Genomic DNA, 17,050 nt, shown 5'->3' with positions numbered 1-17,050 from the left:
CGTTTTCCAATCTATAAACATGACATATATCTCTGTTTAATTAGGTATTCTTTAATTACCCTCATTAAAATTTTGTAGTTTTCTATGTAGAAGTCTCATATATCTTTCATGGATTTAATTTTTTTAGCTTGATAGTATGTTCCCCAGTGTATATTATAATGTGTGACAATATCAGTGAGCAGTTAAGAGCATGGACACTGGAAGCACATTGCAAGACTGATATTAGGGAAGGTCCTTAACCTCTCTGTGCCTCTGTTTCTTTTATATATGGAGACAAAAGCTGTATGTTTCTTACCAAGTTTTCATGAAACTAAATACACTACAACTCTCCCAAATTTAGAACATGGTAAGCACTTGATAAGTAGTGATAAGTGTCTGTTAGATTAGATTATTAGTGCAGTTATTTTGTTACATTCTGCACAAATATTTTGTACAGTTTTGATTAAATTGTTACATAATGTTTATTTAAATTTATAAATAAAGTTAGTCGAGAATGCACGTCTTTAAAATATTTAACATTCTCATCCTGTAGGTGCTTTGACTTTATTTATTGAACTCTTCACATTTTTCAGTCATACATTGTAGCTTTCTTCATATAGATCCTGTCCTTTTTATATTGTGTATTATCATCTGTAATATTATATCGTCTATTATTATCATTTGTTTTATTATCATCTGTTATATTTTTTGCTATTGTTAATGGGGTCTCTTCTTCCATGGTAATGCTTCATTGGTTATTGCTGGTATGTTATAAGTAAATTTATTGGAGTTTTATTTTTGGTACTTTTTTTTTTACAGGCCACCTATGTAATTTTCACACACATGCACACACACACACACACAAACTATACATATATATATATGTTTTTGTCTTCATATATAAAATAAATATACATATTTATATGTAAAGTAAATATCTATATATTTAGTGTGTGTGTGTATATATATGTATGTATGTGTGTATATGTATCCCCCCTGCCATTTCCAATTGTTTTCTCCTTATCAACCAAATAGCATTATCATACTTTTAATTGCTTAGGTGTTAAAGTTGGAGTTTGTATTATTTTTTATTGCTCTATTAAAAAATTTCTATAAACTTTGTGACTTAAAGCAACACCTGTTTACTATCTCAGTTTTTGTCTGGACACGTCTTAGCTGGTTCCTCTGTTCACAGTCTCACAAGGCTGAAATCAAGATGTTGGCTGTGGCCGTGGTCTCATGTGAAACTCGAGAAAGATCTGCTTCCTAACTCACACAGGTTGTTGGCTGAGTTTAGTTCTTTACAGATTTAGGACTGAAGGCTTTATTTTCTTGCTAGCTAAAGTCTGGAGGTCCTTTCTTACAGCTGTCTATTGAAAGTTGCCCTCAACTCCTAGCACAGGAGACACCCAACAAGAAGAGCACTACAGTCTTATGGAATGTAATCTTGTAATCACATCCATTGTATCACCTATACCATACTCCATTGGTTAGAGACATATCATAGGACCTGCCTACACTCAGGAAAAGGGGATCACACAAGAACATGAGCACCAGGAGGTGGGGATCTTGGGGGCTACCCTAAGAATCTGGACAATGCAGAGCCATTCTTTCAGTCCAGAAATCCTAGGAATACCCTGTTTTAAGCTACTATCTTATCTAAATTATTGCTATAGCTTTTTAACTGGTTTCTTTTTGTCTGCTCCTAGCTAATTTTAGCCTATTACGTGCATAGCAGCTGTAGTGATCCCATTAAAATACAAATCAGGTAATCTCAGTCCTGTACTCACAAAGTTTTTCATATCATCAGTATGAAACCATCCCCAGTGATTTCTCATGTCACCATAACAAAATCCAGAGTCATCACAATGGATGACTATGTAATCAGGACCCCTACTGATGTGGTTTGGCTCTCTGTCCCCACCCAAATCTCATGTTGAATTGTAATAATCCCCACGTGTCAAGGGCGGGACCAGGCAGAGATAATTGAATCATGGGCGCAGTTTCCCCCATACTGTTATCAAGATAGTGAGTTCTTATGAGATGTGATGGTTTCACAAGTGTCTGGCATTTCCCCTGCTGGCACTTCTTCCCTTGCCTGCTGCCATGTAAGATGTGCCTTCCACTTTCTGCCATGATTGTGAGTCTTCCCCAGGCATGTGGAACTATGAGTCCATTAAACCTCTTTCCTTTATAAATTACCCAGTCTTGGGTATGTCTTTATCAGCAGTGTGAAAAAGGACTAATACACCTACCTAGTATTGTTTTGACCTCATCTCCTAATGCAAGTTGAGTATCCTTATCTGAAATGCTTGGGATCAGAAGTATTTCAGATTGCAGATTTTGAAATACTTGCATATCCATAGTTTGATATCTTGGGGGTAGGGCCCAATTCTAAACATGAAATACATTTATGTTTCATATAAACCTTATTACACAAAGCCTGAATGTAGTTTTATACAATATTTTAAAATAATTTTATACATGAAACAAAGTTTGTGTACATTGAACCATTAGAAAGCAAAGGTGTCACTATCTCAGCCACCAATGTAGGCAATCTATGGTTGCCTGCTGTCACCATCTTTCCTGACTCTAAATTTGTATGCTACTATATTAGTCCATTCTTACATTGCTATAAAGAAATACCTGAGATTGGGTAATTTATGAAGAAAAGAGGTTTAATTGGCTCATGGTTCTGCAGACTATACGAGAAGCATAGCAGCTTCTGCTTCTGGGGAGGCCTCAGGAAGCGTCCAATCATGGTGGAAGGCAAAGGAGAAGCAAGCGTCCTACATGGCAGGAGCAGGAGCAAGAGGGAAGATGCTACAGACTTTTAAACAACCAGATCTCATGAGAACTCATTCACTATCATGAGAAACTCGCTCACTATCATGAGAACAGCACCAAGGGGATGGTGCTAAACCATTGAGAAATTCACCCGTATGACCCAGTCACTTCCCACCAAGCCCCACCTCCAACATTGTGGATCACAATTTGACATGAGATATGGGCAGGGACACATATCCAGACTATATCAGCTACTGATAAGCAATCATTTCCTTACACTTATTCACACATAGTATTTAACACTAAAAAATGTAACATACCATTTATACAGTAAAAAAAAAATGACATATTCAGGATAACTGGCAGCACAGTAGCATCACCAGAACACCTTTCTTAGCTGTTGAACATAAAACTGCAGGCTTTCGGTCTCCACCTATGATGCCGTGTTTTGATTAAAAGGTTACTATACCTTGGGCTGGGTGTGGTGGCTCACACCTGTAATCCCAGCACTTTGGGAGGCTGAGGCGGGTGGGCAGATCACGAGGTCAGGAGTTTGAGATCAGCCTGGCCAACATGGTGAAACCCCATCTCTACTAAAAATACAAAAATTAGCTGGGCGTGGTGGCGCGTGCCTGTAATTCCAGCTACTCCAGAGGCTGAGGCAGGAGAATTGCTTAAACCTGGGAGGTGGAGGTTGCAGTGAGCCAAGATCACACCACTGCACTCCAGCCTGGGGGACAAGAGTGAAACTCCATCTCGGGGGTGGGGGGAGAAAAACAGGTAATGTACATTGAACAGTAGGGATGCCAAGTAAACTGTGTGTTGTGCATTTTGACTGTGTTGTGACCGTGATCCATAACATGGTGTGGAATTGTCCACTTGTGGCATCATGTTGGTGCTCAAAACATTTTGGATTTTGAAGCATTTTGGATTTTGGAGTTTGGGATGCTCAATGTGTACTTCTCCCTTTGTTATTCCACTTCAGCTATATTGGCCCCCTTCCTGTTCAAACAGGTTAGAAATTCTCTCACCTTAGGTATTTGACTGAAGCTATTTGCTGTACCTGGAACACCTTTTCCCCCAATAGCTACATGGCTTGCTTCCTCACTACTTTTAGGTCTTTCCTAAGAAGGTTATCACCTTCTTAGTGAGCTCTTTCCTGACCACGTTATTTAAAATTACACACAGTGATATATTTTTTTCACTGCTTGTTAAAACTCATTTTTCACTTTCTTGTTTTAGTAGTATCCATTACTTTGTTGTTTAATTTTTAATTTTGTTCGTTGTTCCCTTCCCCTACTATTTAGGGTTCCATAAAGACTGGGATATTTGTATGTATGTGTGTTTATTGGCGAATTGCCAACATTTAAAACAGTAGTAGGCACTTAGTAGGTATTCAACCAGTGTTTTTCTTAGTAAATTGAAATTTATGTGATTAGGAGATGGATTCACAAACAGTTTTATTGTCTTCTAATAATGAACATTCTATCTCCTTTTGCATAGCATGCCTCTTTATTTTATTCTTGTCTTTTTGCATTATCTTGAATTTCTAGAACGATGTTAAAAAATAATTGGCAGTTTTGCCTTCCTGATGACTTTAATGGGAATGCTTTTCCTGTTTATGCTTTTAGATCTTGTATTGAGATAGATTTGTCTTCTAAAAAATCAAATTAAAGAGGTAACCTTTCTTTAATTTACTCAGAATGTTTTGGGGGACAAGGAATAGAAAGTAGATGTTGAATCTTAAATCAAAGAGCTTTTAAGCATCTGTTCCGATGATTATATGGCTCTCTTCTGTTACATATTGATGTCATAAATTACATCAGGAGATACTTTAATATTAAACTCTCTTTTTATCCCTGGAATGAGCTGTGCTTGGTCACAATATGGTACTATTTTAATTAACTGCTGGATTAAATTTGCTAAGCTTTACATTATTTCTAGTACTTGTAAGATTTTAAAAGTCTTACGTCATTTGTTATTTTAGATTTACTCATTCCCTAATTAGCAGAATTCAGTCCAGGTATGTATTTACTCATACAGTTGCCCTAATTCACCTTGGATCACCTCATTGTACATCCAGATCCTGTAGACCTCTCTTTTCAAATCTTAACTCAAAATCCACTGACAGTCATTTTCATTATCTATTCAGTGGTTTAGTAGCCTAAAGAAAGAAAAGTGTCTCCCTAAACCTTCTTAACCTACAGCCTTATATATCTGGGTTGATGATAACATTGATCCTCCCTATTGTTCAAACTAAACACCCAAGAGTCATTCTTGATTTCTTTCTTCTTTTACTCTACATCATAATTAGTTCACCAGGAAATCTTATCAGTTTTTTTTTTTTTTTGACAAGGTCTGTCACGCAGGCTAGAGTACAGTGGTGCAGTCACAGCTCACTGCAACCTCGACCCCCTGGGCTCAGGTGATTCTCCCACCTCAGCCTCTCCGGTAGCTGGGACCTATGGGTGTGTGCCACCATGAGCAGCTAATTTTTTGTATTTTTAATAGAGACAGGTTTTGCTATGTTGCCCAGGCTGGCCTCGAATTCGTGGAATCAAGTGATCTGTCTGCTTCAGCCTCCCAAAATGCTGGGATTACAGGCATGATTCAGTATGCCTGGTCCCTTTACTCTTAACATAATTTAAAATTCCTGTGTGTATTAGAGTCTATGTCTTGACTTTCTTTTGCTTTGTCATTAAAGCTGTTTAAATTCTTACAGTTTGTAATATGTTTTAATATCTAATCATGTTAGACCTCCTTCCAGTTTTGTCCTACTGTTCTGGTATTGAATGTTGCTGCAGCTATGTCTGGAACAATTTGATTTCCCCTCCTTCCATGTCACTCGCCCCACTCTTGTAGTAACTTGGTCGTTTTGCCTGGATACCCCAATGGTTCTTTGTTACTTGTTAAGCTTAACTTTACCAGGTTCTGTCTCCGTGCTGACTCTTTTGATTCAGTTTACTCTGGGACATATTGTACAGTTTATGTACTTAGATTGATGACTTTTTTTTCTCCCGGGGAGAATTTCTTGACTAATATCTTTAAAGATATATCATGTTAGATTATTTCAGTTTTCTCTTCAAGAAATCAATAATTTAAACTCCTTATTTCCATTATATTTTTCACATTTTTGTCATTCTGTTCCTTATATTTGTTATTATCTTCTTAACAGTATCTGTTTTCTTTTTTACTGTTTGCAATTATACTTTCATTTCTATGACAGTTTTATTCTTCTATTTCATTCCTTAGCTCTGCCAGCTCATGTTTTACTTTTTCTGGTTGCCATTTCTTCCCTGTGTTCATAGATTTTTATTTTGTGCAAGGAGCTTAATGGAGACCACTGCTTTATCAAACTTGTTTAATTCATAGAAAATTGTGTGTTCACAGTTTAATATTTAAAGGCAACTTTTTTTTTAGTATGTATCTTCCATCTTTTTATCTTTTTTTTTTATTTTTTCTTATAGCACCTTTGTATGGTACTTCTTTTTGGAGAGATGTGAGCTTTTTCACAGCAGCTGTTTGTAGGAGGCTTATGCTTAAGAGAAGCTAGAGAAGCTAGGGTCATGCTCCTGGTTAGATGGAATTTTTCTAAAGGCCCAAATTTTGTATGTGTGTGTTTGCTCCTTTTTCCGGCCATCCTCTCCCCTCCCCTGGTACCCCCCATATATCTTGATATGGAGGTAGACAGTTTTCTGTTAGTAATTGTCTCTGTAATCTAACTAGTAATTAATTATTAATAGAGTTTTTTGTGACTTCTGGTTCCACTGTGCTCCTTCTGCTTCTTGGTGTCATATTGGGGGTCTTGTGTACTCCATTTCCACTGTTGAAAACAGAGGATTAGGCATTGCCTCTTGGGTTATACTCCTCATTTTTGGGAATTTTATTTTGTTTTTCTTCTTAGAAATTTATTTTGCTTTTATTTTCATATTGGTCAGGGTTCTTTAGAGGGACAGAACCAATAGGATACAAGTATATATAAAAGGGAGTTCATTAAGGAGTATTGACTCATGCAATCATAAGGTGACATCCCACAATAGGCCATCTTCAAGGAAGCCTTCCTCCTGCAAAGAGCAAGGAAGCCAGTCTGAGTCCCAAAGCTGAAGAACTTGGAGTTCAATGTTGGAGGCCAAAAAGCATCCAGCATGGGAGAAAGATGTAGGTTGGAAGAGTAAATCAGTCTAGTCTTTCCACGCTCTTCTACCTGCTTTTATTCTGGCTGCGCTGGTAGCTGATTAGATTGTGCCCACCCAGACTGAGGGTGGATCTGCCTTTCCTAGCCCACTGACTCAAATGTTAATCTCATTTGGCAACACCCTCACAGACCCACCCAGAAACAATATTTTGCATCCTTCAATACAATCAAGTTAACACTCAATATTAACCATCACAAGTCCACCCTTCGTCAGTGTGAGCTCATAAACATCTGAAATCATATGTAATCTTCAAATAAAGGCAACAAAAAGATTATAATTACACCTAACATAATATAACTATCCTTTATACAACCGGAAACACACCAATCCCCAACCCAAATGCTATATAAAGTTAACAACACTTAAATGCTGATATGAAGTCAATAACTCTACGTCACATGATAAAGGAGAAAGGAAATAAAATGAAGATATTTTCTTAGTACAAGTGTATACATGCACAAGCATGTTCTTAACAAAATAAGGAGGAAATACTCATGACAATTACAGTTCTCATTTCTGCAGCTGGTCACATGGTCATAGCTGGTATTGATGACTACCTTCTTCTACTACCCATTCTGTATTCTGTTTACCTTCAGCAAGCACCTCAGCAGGTCATGGTTTTTTTACCTGGTGGAGTGACCCAAACCTTCATTCCTGAAGGGTCTGAGCCATTTGTAGTCCTGCCTAGATTTGGCTGTTGTATTTTCCCATTGATCTTAATCACAGGGCATGGTAATACCAGGAGACACCCTAATGGATCTCCTGTATTCCATGCATACTCTTCCTTACCTCCATTGTGGAGTAGTACACTGATTTCATCTTGATAGTCCAGGTCAGTCACCCCAGCCAACATTGTAACTCCTTAGCCTGTTGACTTAAAGGTAGGAGGAGCCCAAAATTTACTGTATTAGTCTATTTTCATGCTGCTGATAAAGACATACCTGAGACTGGGTAGTTTACAAAGAAAAAGAGGTTTAATGGACTCACAGTTCCCACGTGGCTGGGGAGGCCTCATAATCATGGTGGAAGGTGAAAGGCACATCTTACGTGGTGGCATTCAAGAGAGAATATATATATATCATGAACAGCCACAATATCCTGTCTCATTCGTTCCCTTCCCCAGCACCATTTGTCCTATTTTTACTGCCTTTGGCTGCCCTTCAGTTTATTTTGTGGTTAAACATTTCTGTGATATGCTGTTTTTCTCCCTCCTCCATGCTTTTGGGTTATTTCTAAGTGGATATATAACCTTCCAGTGTTACTGGAAGATTGGTTTCTTCTTGGATCGCCTATTTCCTCAAATACCACCTTTCAGAGAGACCTTACCTAACCACCCACTCTACCATAGCCCCCTAGCATTCTCATGATATGTTTGTTTGAACACTTTTTATAATCATAGAATTTTTAAACATATAAAAATGTAGTGAATAGTATAATCTTTCATGTGCCCACCACTCATCTTTATTAATTATCAGTATTTCACCAGTCTTGTTTCATCTCCCTCCCTCCACATACATTTTTTTCTTAAGTACTTTAAGGCAAATATCTGTTTTAATATGTAATCATGTTAGACCTGCAAATATCTGATATGCTGATATTTAGATAAGGCAAATATCTGATACATATAAAACATTCAGTGCATATCTCTAATAAGTAAGGACATGTTTTAAAAAACAAAACAAAAAACCTTCATTACTGTGCCATTGTTACATCTAACAAAATTAACAATATTTTTCTCATCTCATCTCGTATTACTGCCACATTTTCCTGTGTGATTTAAAAATGCACTTTTAAAGTTTGCTTGAATCAAAGATCAAAACAAAATCTTGACATTTGGTCCTTTTTTTTTTTTTTTTAACTTGTAAGAGTTTCTTTTCGTCTCTGTTTCTTTTAAGACTTTTTGTTTTCTGAACAAATAATATATATATAATAATGTGTAGGATTCTCAAAACTCTGAATTTGGTTGACTGTTTTCTCCTTACAGTGTTTTTAAATATGTTTCTCTAATGCCTGTGTTTCCTGTAAACTGATAATGAGATGTATAGGATTGATTAGATTGAGGTTCAGTTTTCTGGGCAAGAGTACTTCATAGACAGTGCAGTGTATGTCCTCTTGCATTATAATAGGAGACACATGATTTCTGCTTGTATCTTTTAATAATATTAAGATAGATAAGTGGGCTTAGGTGTTCTTAGCTTGATCTGACAATTATAAAATTAGCCACTGACATTTTATCTAATGAACATTTTCTAGATTGGCAGCAAAATGATGATTCTGTCATAACTTTGGTAATTAACTGCTGAATAAAAAGTTGTGGCAATTTGGAGTTTTTCTGGATTTGCTAAAATTCTCTGATGAATTTTTAAATTAAGTGGCAGTTGAGAGGAAAATTTACTATTTATGTAGATTTAGATACATTTTAAAAAATCTAGATTGGAAATTACCCATGGTCTTTTAAAAATACTCAGAACAACTTTTGAAGAGGAGATTACTATTCTAATTTATTAAAAATATATCTGAAATAACTAAATGATACTTTCTGTTAGATTTAGATTTTGATGTACAGGTATTACTTTGAGACATCAAGGATGTAATTATGCTTTTGGGACATATTTTACACAATCTACGTTTATTTTTCTTTTTTATATAGGTTATTAAGTGTGATATGCTGTGATCTGGACACTCTTCTCCTGTTAGAGGCTCAGTATCAGGTATCTGAAATGTTACTAAATGCTCAAGAAGAAAATATCTTGGAGATTTCTGAGAGCCACAGGTAAAAATGGGTGATTAAAACAGAGTAACAGCAGTTTTCTTTAGAGATGTTTTGTTAAGACAGTAATTTTTGATATAGCTTGTTTAATGTTTTTCTGCTTTCTAAATTCAATCAATTTAAATAACAGAATACAAAGCAGCTAAAGTGTAAATGTCACAGAAAGATTATGATAGAAGTGTTTGGAGAGTGCTTGCAGAGTACTACTTTCAAGTCTGTTGCTTTTGTCGTGTGTGTGTGTGTGTGTATGTGTGTGGTATGTGTGTATATATATGTAATACATAAAATACTAGGTAAGACCTAACTTTATTAATGGTTCAATAATAACTTTATTAATGGTTCCATAAACCATATCGCCTTTTAATTCAGCTGCTATTGTAAGATGACCCATTGAACAAAATTTTTGATTTTGTGTCCTTTGCAGAGGCACTCTTTATTCCATCCTCTTAATTATGTTAGTTCATAGTCATAAATTCTGATTATTTCCAAAATGAGGTTATGGTAATATCCTGATAATTTTTTTCATTAATAAATCACACTTGCCATTACCTCAATTTGGCTGACTGTTGTCAAATACACATTCAATAGCTGGCATTGCCTTTATGTCTGTAATTAATTTTTAAAAAGAGTATGTCTGCATCTTAGCCAGGTCTTGGAAAATTATTATGGAGTATATTACTTGATACTCTAGGTTTTTTGTAGAAGGAAAAGATTAACAGCTGCTGAGTATGGAAGCTGCTCATAAGCAACATTTAGATTTTGAATTTAAGGCACCAGCTTTAAAACTTAAGAAAACCTTGACTGAAACTATGATTGTTGAAGTCACTGTAGAAATAATGCGTGTCCTAATTCCATTTCTTTAAATGCAGTAAAATTTATCAAGGAAAGTATTCTTTAATTAATGTCATTGTATCTCCATCAATTTTTTGCTGTCTAGCAAAGAGAACTTAAAATGAAAAGTGAATTTAGCTTTTGTATTTTAAGAAATACATTGACTTTTGTATATGGTATAAGGAGGGGGTCCAGTTTCAATTTTCTGCAAATAGATAGCCAGTTCTCCCAGCACTATTTATTAAGTAGAGAATCCTTTCCTCATTGCTTATTTTTGTCAGGTTTGTCAAAGATCAGATTGTTGTAGAAGTTTGGCCTTATTTCTAGGTTCTCTATTCTGTTCCATTGGTCTATGTGTCTGTTCTTGTACCAGTACCATGCTATTTTGGTTAGTGTAGCCTTGTAGTATAGTTTGAAGTCAGGTAGTGTGATGCTTCCAGCTTTGTTCTTTTTGCTTAAGATTGTGTTGGCTATTTGAGGTCTTTTTTGGTTCCACGTGAATTTTAAAATATTTTTTTTCTGATTCTGTAAAGAATGTCAATATAGTTTAATACGAATAGCATTGAATCTATAAATTGCTTTGGGCAGCATGGTCATTTTCTCAATACTGATTCTTCCTATTCATGAGCATGGAATGTTTTTCCATTTGTTTGTATCATCTCTGATTTCTTTGAGCAGTGGCTTGTAGTTCACCTTGAAGAGGTCCTTCACTTCTCTTGTTAGCTGTAGTTCTAGGTATTTTATTCTTTTTGTGGCAGTTGTGAACAGGAGTTCATTTATAATTTGGCTCTTGGCTTGCCTGTTGGTGGTGTATAGGAATGCAAGCGATTTTTGCATGTTGATTTTTTTTTTTTTTTTTTTTTTATTATACTCTAAGTTTTAGGGTACATGTGCACATTGTGCAGGTTAGTTACATATGTATACATGTGCCATGCTGGTGCGCTGCACCCACTAACGTGTCATCTAGCATTAGGTATATCTCCCAATGCTATCCCTCCCCCCTCCCCCGACCCCACCACAGTCCCCAGAGTGTGATATTCCCCTTCCTGTGTCCATGTGATCTCATTGTTCAATTCCCACCTATGAGTGAGCATATGTGGTGTTTGGTTTTTTGTTCTTGTGATAGGTTACTGAGAATGATGGTTTCCAATTTCATCCATGTCCCTACAAAGGACATGAACTCATCATTTTTTATGGCTGTATAGTATTCCATGGTGTATATGTGCCACATTTTCTTAATCCAGTCTATCATTGTTGGACATTTGGGTTGGTTCCAAGTCTTTGCTATAGTGAATACTGCCGCAATAAACATACGTGTGCATGTGTCTTTATAGCAGCATGATTTATAGTCCTTTGGGTATATACCCAGTAATGGGATGGCTGGGTCAAATGGTATTTCTAGTTCTAGATCCCTGAGGAATCGCCACACTGACTTCCACAATGGTTGAACTAGTTTACAGTCCCACCAACAGTGTAAAAGTGTTCCTATTTCTCCACATCCTCTCCAGCACCTGTTGTTTCCTGACTTTTTAATGATCGCCATTCTAACTGGTGTGAGATGATATCTCATAGTGGTTTTGATTTGCATTTCTCTGATGGCCAGTGATGATGAGCATTTCTTCATGTGTTTTTTGGCTGCATAAATGTCTTCTTTTGAGAAGTGTCTGTTCATGTCCTTCGCCCACTTTTTGATGGGGTTGTTTGTTTTTTTCTTGTAAATTTGTTTGAGTTCATTGTAGATTCTGGATATTAGCCCTTTGTCAGATGAGTAGGTTGCGAAAATTTTCTCCCATGTTGTAGGTTGCCTGTTCACTCTGATGGTAGTTTCTTTTGCTGTGCAGAAGCTCTTTAGTTTAATTAGATCCCATTTGTCAATTTTGGCTTTTGTTGCCATTGCTTTTGGTGTTTTGGACATGAAGTCCTTGCCCACGCCTATGTCCTGAATGGTAATGCCTAGGTTTTCTTCTAGGGTTTTTATGGTTTTAGGTCTAACGTTTAAATCTTTAATCCATCTTGAATTGATTTTTGTATAAGGTGTAAGGAAGGGATCCAGTTTCAGCTTTCTACATATGGCTAGCCAGTTTTCCCAGCACCATTTATTAAATAGGGAATCCTTTCCCCATTGCTTGTTTTTCTCAGGTTTGTCAAAGATCAGATAGTTGTAGATATGCGGCATTATTTCTGAGGGCTCTGTTCTGTTCCATTGATCTATATCTCTGTTTTGGTACCAGTACCATGCTGTTTTGGTTACTGTAGCCTTGTAGTATAGTTTGAAGTCAGGTAGTGTGATGCCTCCAGCTTTGTTCTTTTGGCTTAGGATTGACTTGGCGATGCGGGCTCTTTTTTGGTTCCATATGAACTTTAAAGTAGTTTTTTCCAATTCTGTGAAGAAAGTCATTGGTAGCTTGATGGGGATGGCATTGAATCTGTAAATTACCTTGGGCAGTATGGCCATTTTCACGATATTGATTCTTCCTACCCATGAGCATGGAACGTTCTTCCATTTGTTTGTGTCCTCTTTTATTTCCTTGAGCAGTGGTTTGTAGTTCTCCTTGAAGAGGTCCTTCACATCCCTTGTAAGTTGGATTCCTAGGTATTTTATTCTCTTTGAAGCAATTGTGAATGGGAGTTCACCCATGATTTGGCTCTCTGTTTGTCTGTTGTTGGTGTATAAGAATGCTTGTGATTTTTGTACATTGATTTTGTATCCTGAGACTTTGCTGAAGTTGCTTATCAGCTTAAGGAGATTTTGGGCTGAGACGATGGGGTTTTCTAGATAAACAATCATGTCGTCTGCAAACAGGGACAATTTGACTTCCTCTTTTCCTAATTGAATACCCTTTATTTCCTTCTCCTGCCTGATTGCCCTGGCCAGAACTTCCAACACTATGTTGAATAGGAGCGGTGAGAGAGGGCATCCCTGTCTTGTGCCAGTTTTCAAAGGGAATGCTTCCAGTTTTTGCCCATTCAGTATGATATTGGCTGTGGGTTTGTCATAGATAGCTCTTATTATTTTGAAATACGTCCCATCAATACCTAATTTATTGAGAGTTTTTAGCATGAAGGGTTGTTGACTTTTGTCAAAGGCTTTTTCTGCATCTATTGAGATAATCATGTGGTTTTTGTCTTTGGCTCTGTTTATATGCTGGATTACATTTATTGATTTGCGTATATTGAACCAGCCTTGCATCCCAGGGATGAAGCCCACTTGATCATGGTGGATAAGCTTTTTGATGTGCTGCTGGATTCGGTTTGCCAGTATTTTATTGAGGATTTTTGCATCAATGTTCATCAAGGATATTGGTCTAAAATTCTCTTTTTTGGTTGTGTCTCTGCCCGGCTTTGGTGTCAGAATGATGCTGGCCTCATAAAATGAGTTAGGGAGGATTCCCTCTTTTTCTATTGATTGGAATAGTTTCAGAAGGAATGGTACCAGTTCCTCCTTGTACCTCTGGTAGAATTCGGCTGTGAATCCATCTGGTCCTGGACTCTTTTTGGTTGGTAAACTATTGATTATTGCCACAATTTCAGATCCTGTTATTGGTCTATTCAGAGATTCAACTTCTTCCTGGTTTAGTCTTGGGAGAGTGTATGTGTCGAGGAATGTATCCATTTCTTCTAGATTTTCTAGTTTATTTGCGTAGAGGTGTTTGTAGTATTCTCTGATGGTAGTTTGTATTTCTGTGGGATCGGTGGTGATATCCCCTTTATCATTTTTTATTGTGTCTATTTGATTCTTGTCTCTTTTTTTCTTTATTAGTCTTGCTAGCGGTCTATCAATTTTGTTGATCCTTTCAAAAAACCAGCTCCTGGATTCATTGATTTTTTGAAGGGTTTTTTGTGTCTCTATTTCCTTCAGTTCTGCTCTGATTTTAGTTATTTCTTGCCTTCTGCTAGCTTTTGAATGTGTTTGCTCTTGCTTTTCTAGTTCTTTTAGTTGTGATGTTAGGGTGTCAATTTTGGATCTTTCCTGCTTTCTCTTGTAGGCATTTAGTGCTATAAATTTCCCTCTACACACTGCTTTGAATGCGTCCCAGAGATTCTGGTATGTGGTGTCTTTGTTCTCGTTGGTTTCAAAGAACATCTTTATTTCTGCCTTCATTTCATTATGTACCCAGTAGTCATTCAGGAGCAGGTTGTTCAGTTTCCATGTAGTTGAGCGGCTTTGAGTGAGATTCTTAATCCTGAGTTCTAGTTTGATTGCACTGTGGTCTGAGAGATAGTTTGTTATAATTTCTGTTCTTTTACATTTGCTGAGGAGAGCTTTACTTCCAACTATGTGGTCAATTTTGGAATAGGTGTGGTGTGGTGCTGAAAAAAATGTATATTCTGTTGATTTGGGGTGGAGAGTTCTGTAGATGTCTATTAGGTCTGCTTGGTGCAGAGCTGAGTTCAATTCCTGGGTATCCTTGTTGACTTTCTGTCTCGTTGATCTGTCTAATGTTGACAGTGGGGTGTTAAAGTCTCCCATTATTAATGTGTGGGAGTCTAAGTCTCTTTGTAGGTCACTCAGGACTTGCTTTATGAATCTGGGTGCTCCTGTATTGGGTGCATAAATATTTAGGATAGTTAGCTCCTCTTGTTGAATTGATCCCTTTACCATTATGTAATGGCCTTCTTTGTCTCTTTTGATCTTTGTTGGTTTAAAGTCTGTTTTATCAGAGACTAGGATTGCAACCCCTGCCTTTTTTTGTTTTCCATTGGCTTGGTAGATCTTCCTCCATCCTTTTATTTTGAGCCTATGTGTGTCTCTGCACGTGAGATGGGTTTCCTGAATACAGCACACTGATGGGTCTTGACTCTTTATCCAACTTGCCAGTCTGTGTCTTTTAATTGCAGAATTTAGTCCATTTATATTTAAAGTTAATATTGTTATGTGTGAATTTGATCCTGTCATTATGATGTTAGCTGGTGATTTTGCTCATTAGTTGATGCAGTTTCTTCCTAGTCTCGATGGTCTTTACATTTTGGCATGATTTTGCAGCGGCTGGTACCGGTTGTTCCTTTCCAGGTTTAGCGCTTCCTTCAGGAGCTCTTATAGGGCAGGCCTGGTGGTGACACAATCTCTCAGCATTTGCTTGTCTATAAAGTATTTTATTTCTCCTTCACTTATGAAGCTTAGTTTGGCTGGATATGAAATTCTGGGTTGAAAATTCTTTTCTTTAAGAATGTTGAATATTGGCCCCCACTCTCTTGTGGCTTGTAGGGTTTCTGCCGAGAGATCCGCTGTTAGTCTGATGGGCTTTCCTTTGAGGGTAACCCGACCTTTCTCTCTGGCTGCCCTTAACATTTTTTCCTTCATTTCAACTTTGGTGAATCTGACAATTATGTGTCTTGGAGTTGCTCTTCTCGAGGAGTATCTTTGTGGCGTTCTCTGTATTTCCTGAATCTGAACGTTGGCCTGCCTTGCTAGATTGGGGAAGTTCTCCTGGATAATATCCTGCAGAGTGTTTTCCAACTTGGTTCCATTCTCCCCATCACTTTCAGGTACACCAATCAGACGTAGATTTGGTCTTTTCACATAGTCCCATATTTCTTGGAGGCTTTGCTCATTTCTTTTTATTCTTTTTTCTCTAAACTTCCCTTCTTGCTTCATTTCATTCATTTCATCTTCCATGGCTGATACCCTTTCTTCCAGTTGATCGCATCGGCTCCTGAGGCTTCTGCATTCTTCACGTAGTTCTCGAGCCTTGGTTTTCAGCTCCATCAGCTCCTTTAAGCACTTCTCTGTATTGGTTATTCTAGTTATACATTCTTCTAAATTTTTTTCAAAGTTTTCAACTTCTTTGCCTTTGGTTTGAATGTCCTCCCGTAGCTCAGAGTAATTTGATCGTCTGAAGCCTTCTTCTCTCAGCTCGTCAAAATCATTCTCCATCCAGCTTTGTTCTGTTGCTGGTGAGGAACTGCGTTCCTTTGGAGGAGGAGAGGCGCTCTGCGTTTTAGAGTTTCCAGTTTTTCTGTTCTGTTTTTTCCCCATCTTTGTGGTTTTATCTACTTTTGGTCTTTGATGATGGTGATGTACAGATGGGTTTTCGGTGTAGATGTCCTTTCTGGTTGTTAGTTTTCCTTCTAACAGACAGGACCCTCAGCTGCAGGTCTGTTGGAATACCCTGCCGTGTGAGGTGTCAGTGTGCCTCCCAGTTAGGCTGCTCGGGGGTCAGGGGTCAGGGACCCACTTGAGGAGGCAGTCTGCCCGTTCTCAGATCTCCAGCTGCGTGCTGGGAGAACCACTGCTCTCTTCAAAGCTGTCAGACAGGGACACTTAAGTCTGCAGAGGTTACTGCTGTCTTTTTGTTTGTCTGTGCCCTGCCCCCAGAGGTGGAGCCTACAGAGGCAGGCAGGCCTCCTTGAGCTGTGGTGGGCTCCACCCAGTTCGAGCTTCCCGGCTGCTTTGTTTACCTAAGCAAGCCTGGGCAATGGCGGGCGCCCCTCCCCCAGCCTCGTTGCCGCCTTGCAGTTTGATCTCAGACTGCTGTGCTAGCAATCA

At 37.8% G+C, this 17,050-nt stretch overlaps 1 protein-coding gene across 22 annotated transcripts in view; it reads left to right on the top strand.

Annotated features, from left to right (window-relative positions):
• TBC1D32 (TBC1 domain family member 32) overlaps positions 1–17,050 on the top strand; it is a 255,236-nt gene that overhangs the window by 154,590 nt on the left and 83,596 nt on the right. For 19 of the 22 annotated variants that reach the window (NR_104452.2, XM_047418311.1, NM_001367759.1 and 16 more), the window contains one exon: positions 9,613–9,735. The exons of 2 other annotated variants lie outside the window; for them this stretch is intronic. Coding sequence is in view for 19 of the 20 variants with exons in the window: in XM_047418311.1 (XP_047274267.1) it covers positions 9,613–9,735 (123 nt within the window). In the remaining variant the exon portion in view is untranslated. Of the gene's footprint in view, positions 1–9,612; positions 9,736–17,050 lie in introns of those variants that run through there. One more of the 22 variants, XM_047418318.1, reaches the window with a different exon arrangement.

Source organism: Homo sapiens, chromosome 6 (genome assembly GCF_000001405.40).
Source record: "Homo sapiens chromosome 6, GRCh38.p14 Primary Assembly".
NCBI classification, from domain to species: Eukaryota; Metazoa; Chordata; class Mammalia; order Primates; family Hominidae; genus Homo; species Homo sapiens.
Note: the sequence above shows the minus strand (reverse complement) of the source record. Positions and strands in the feature narration are given on the sequence as shown.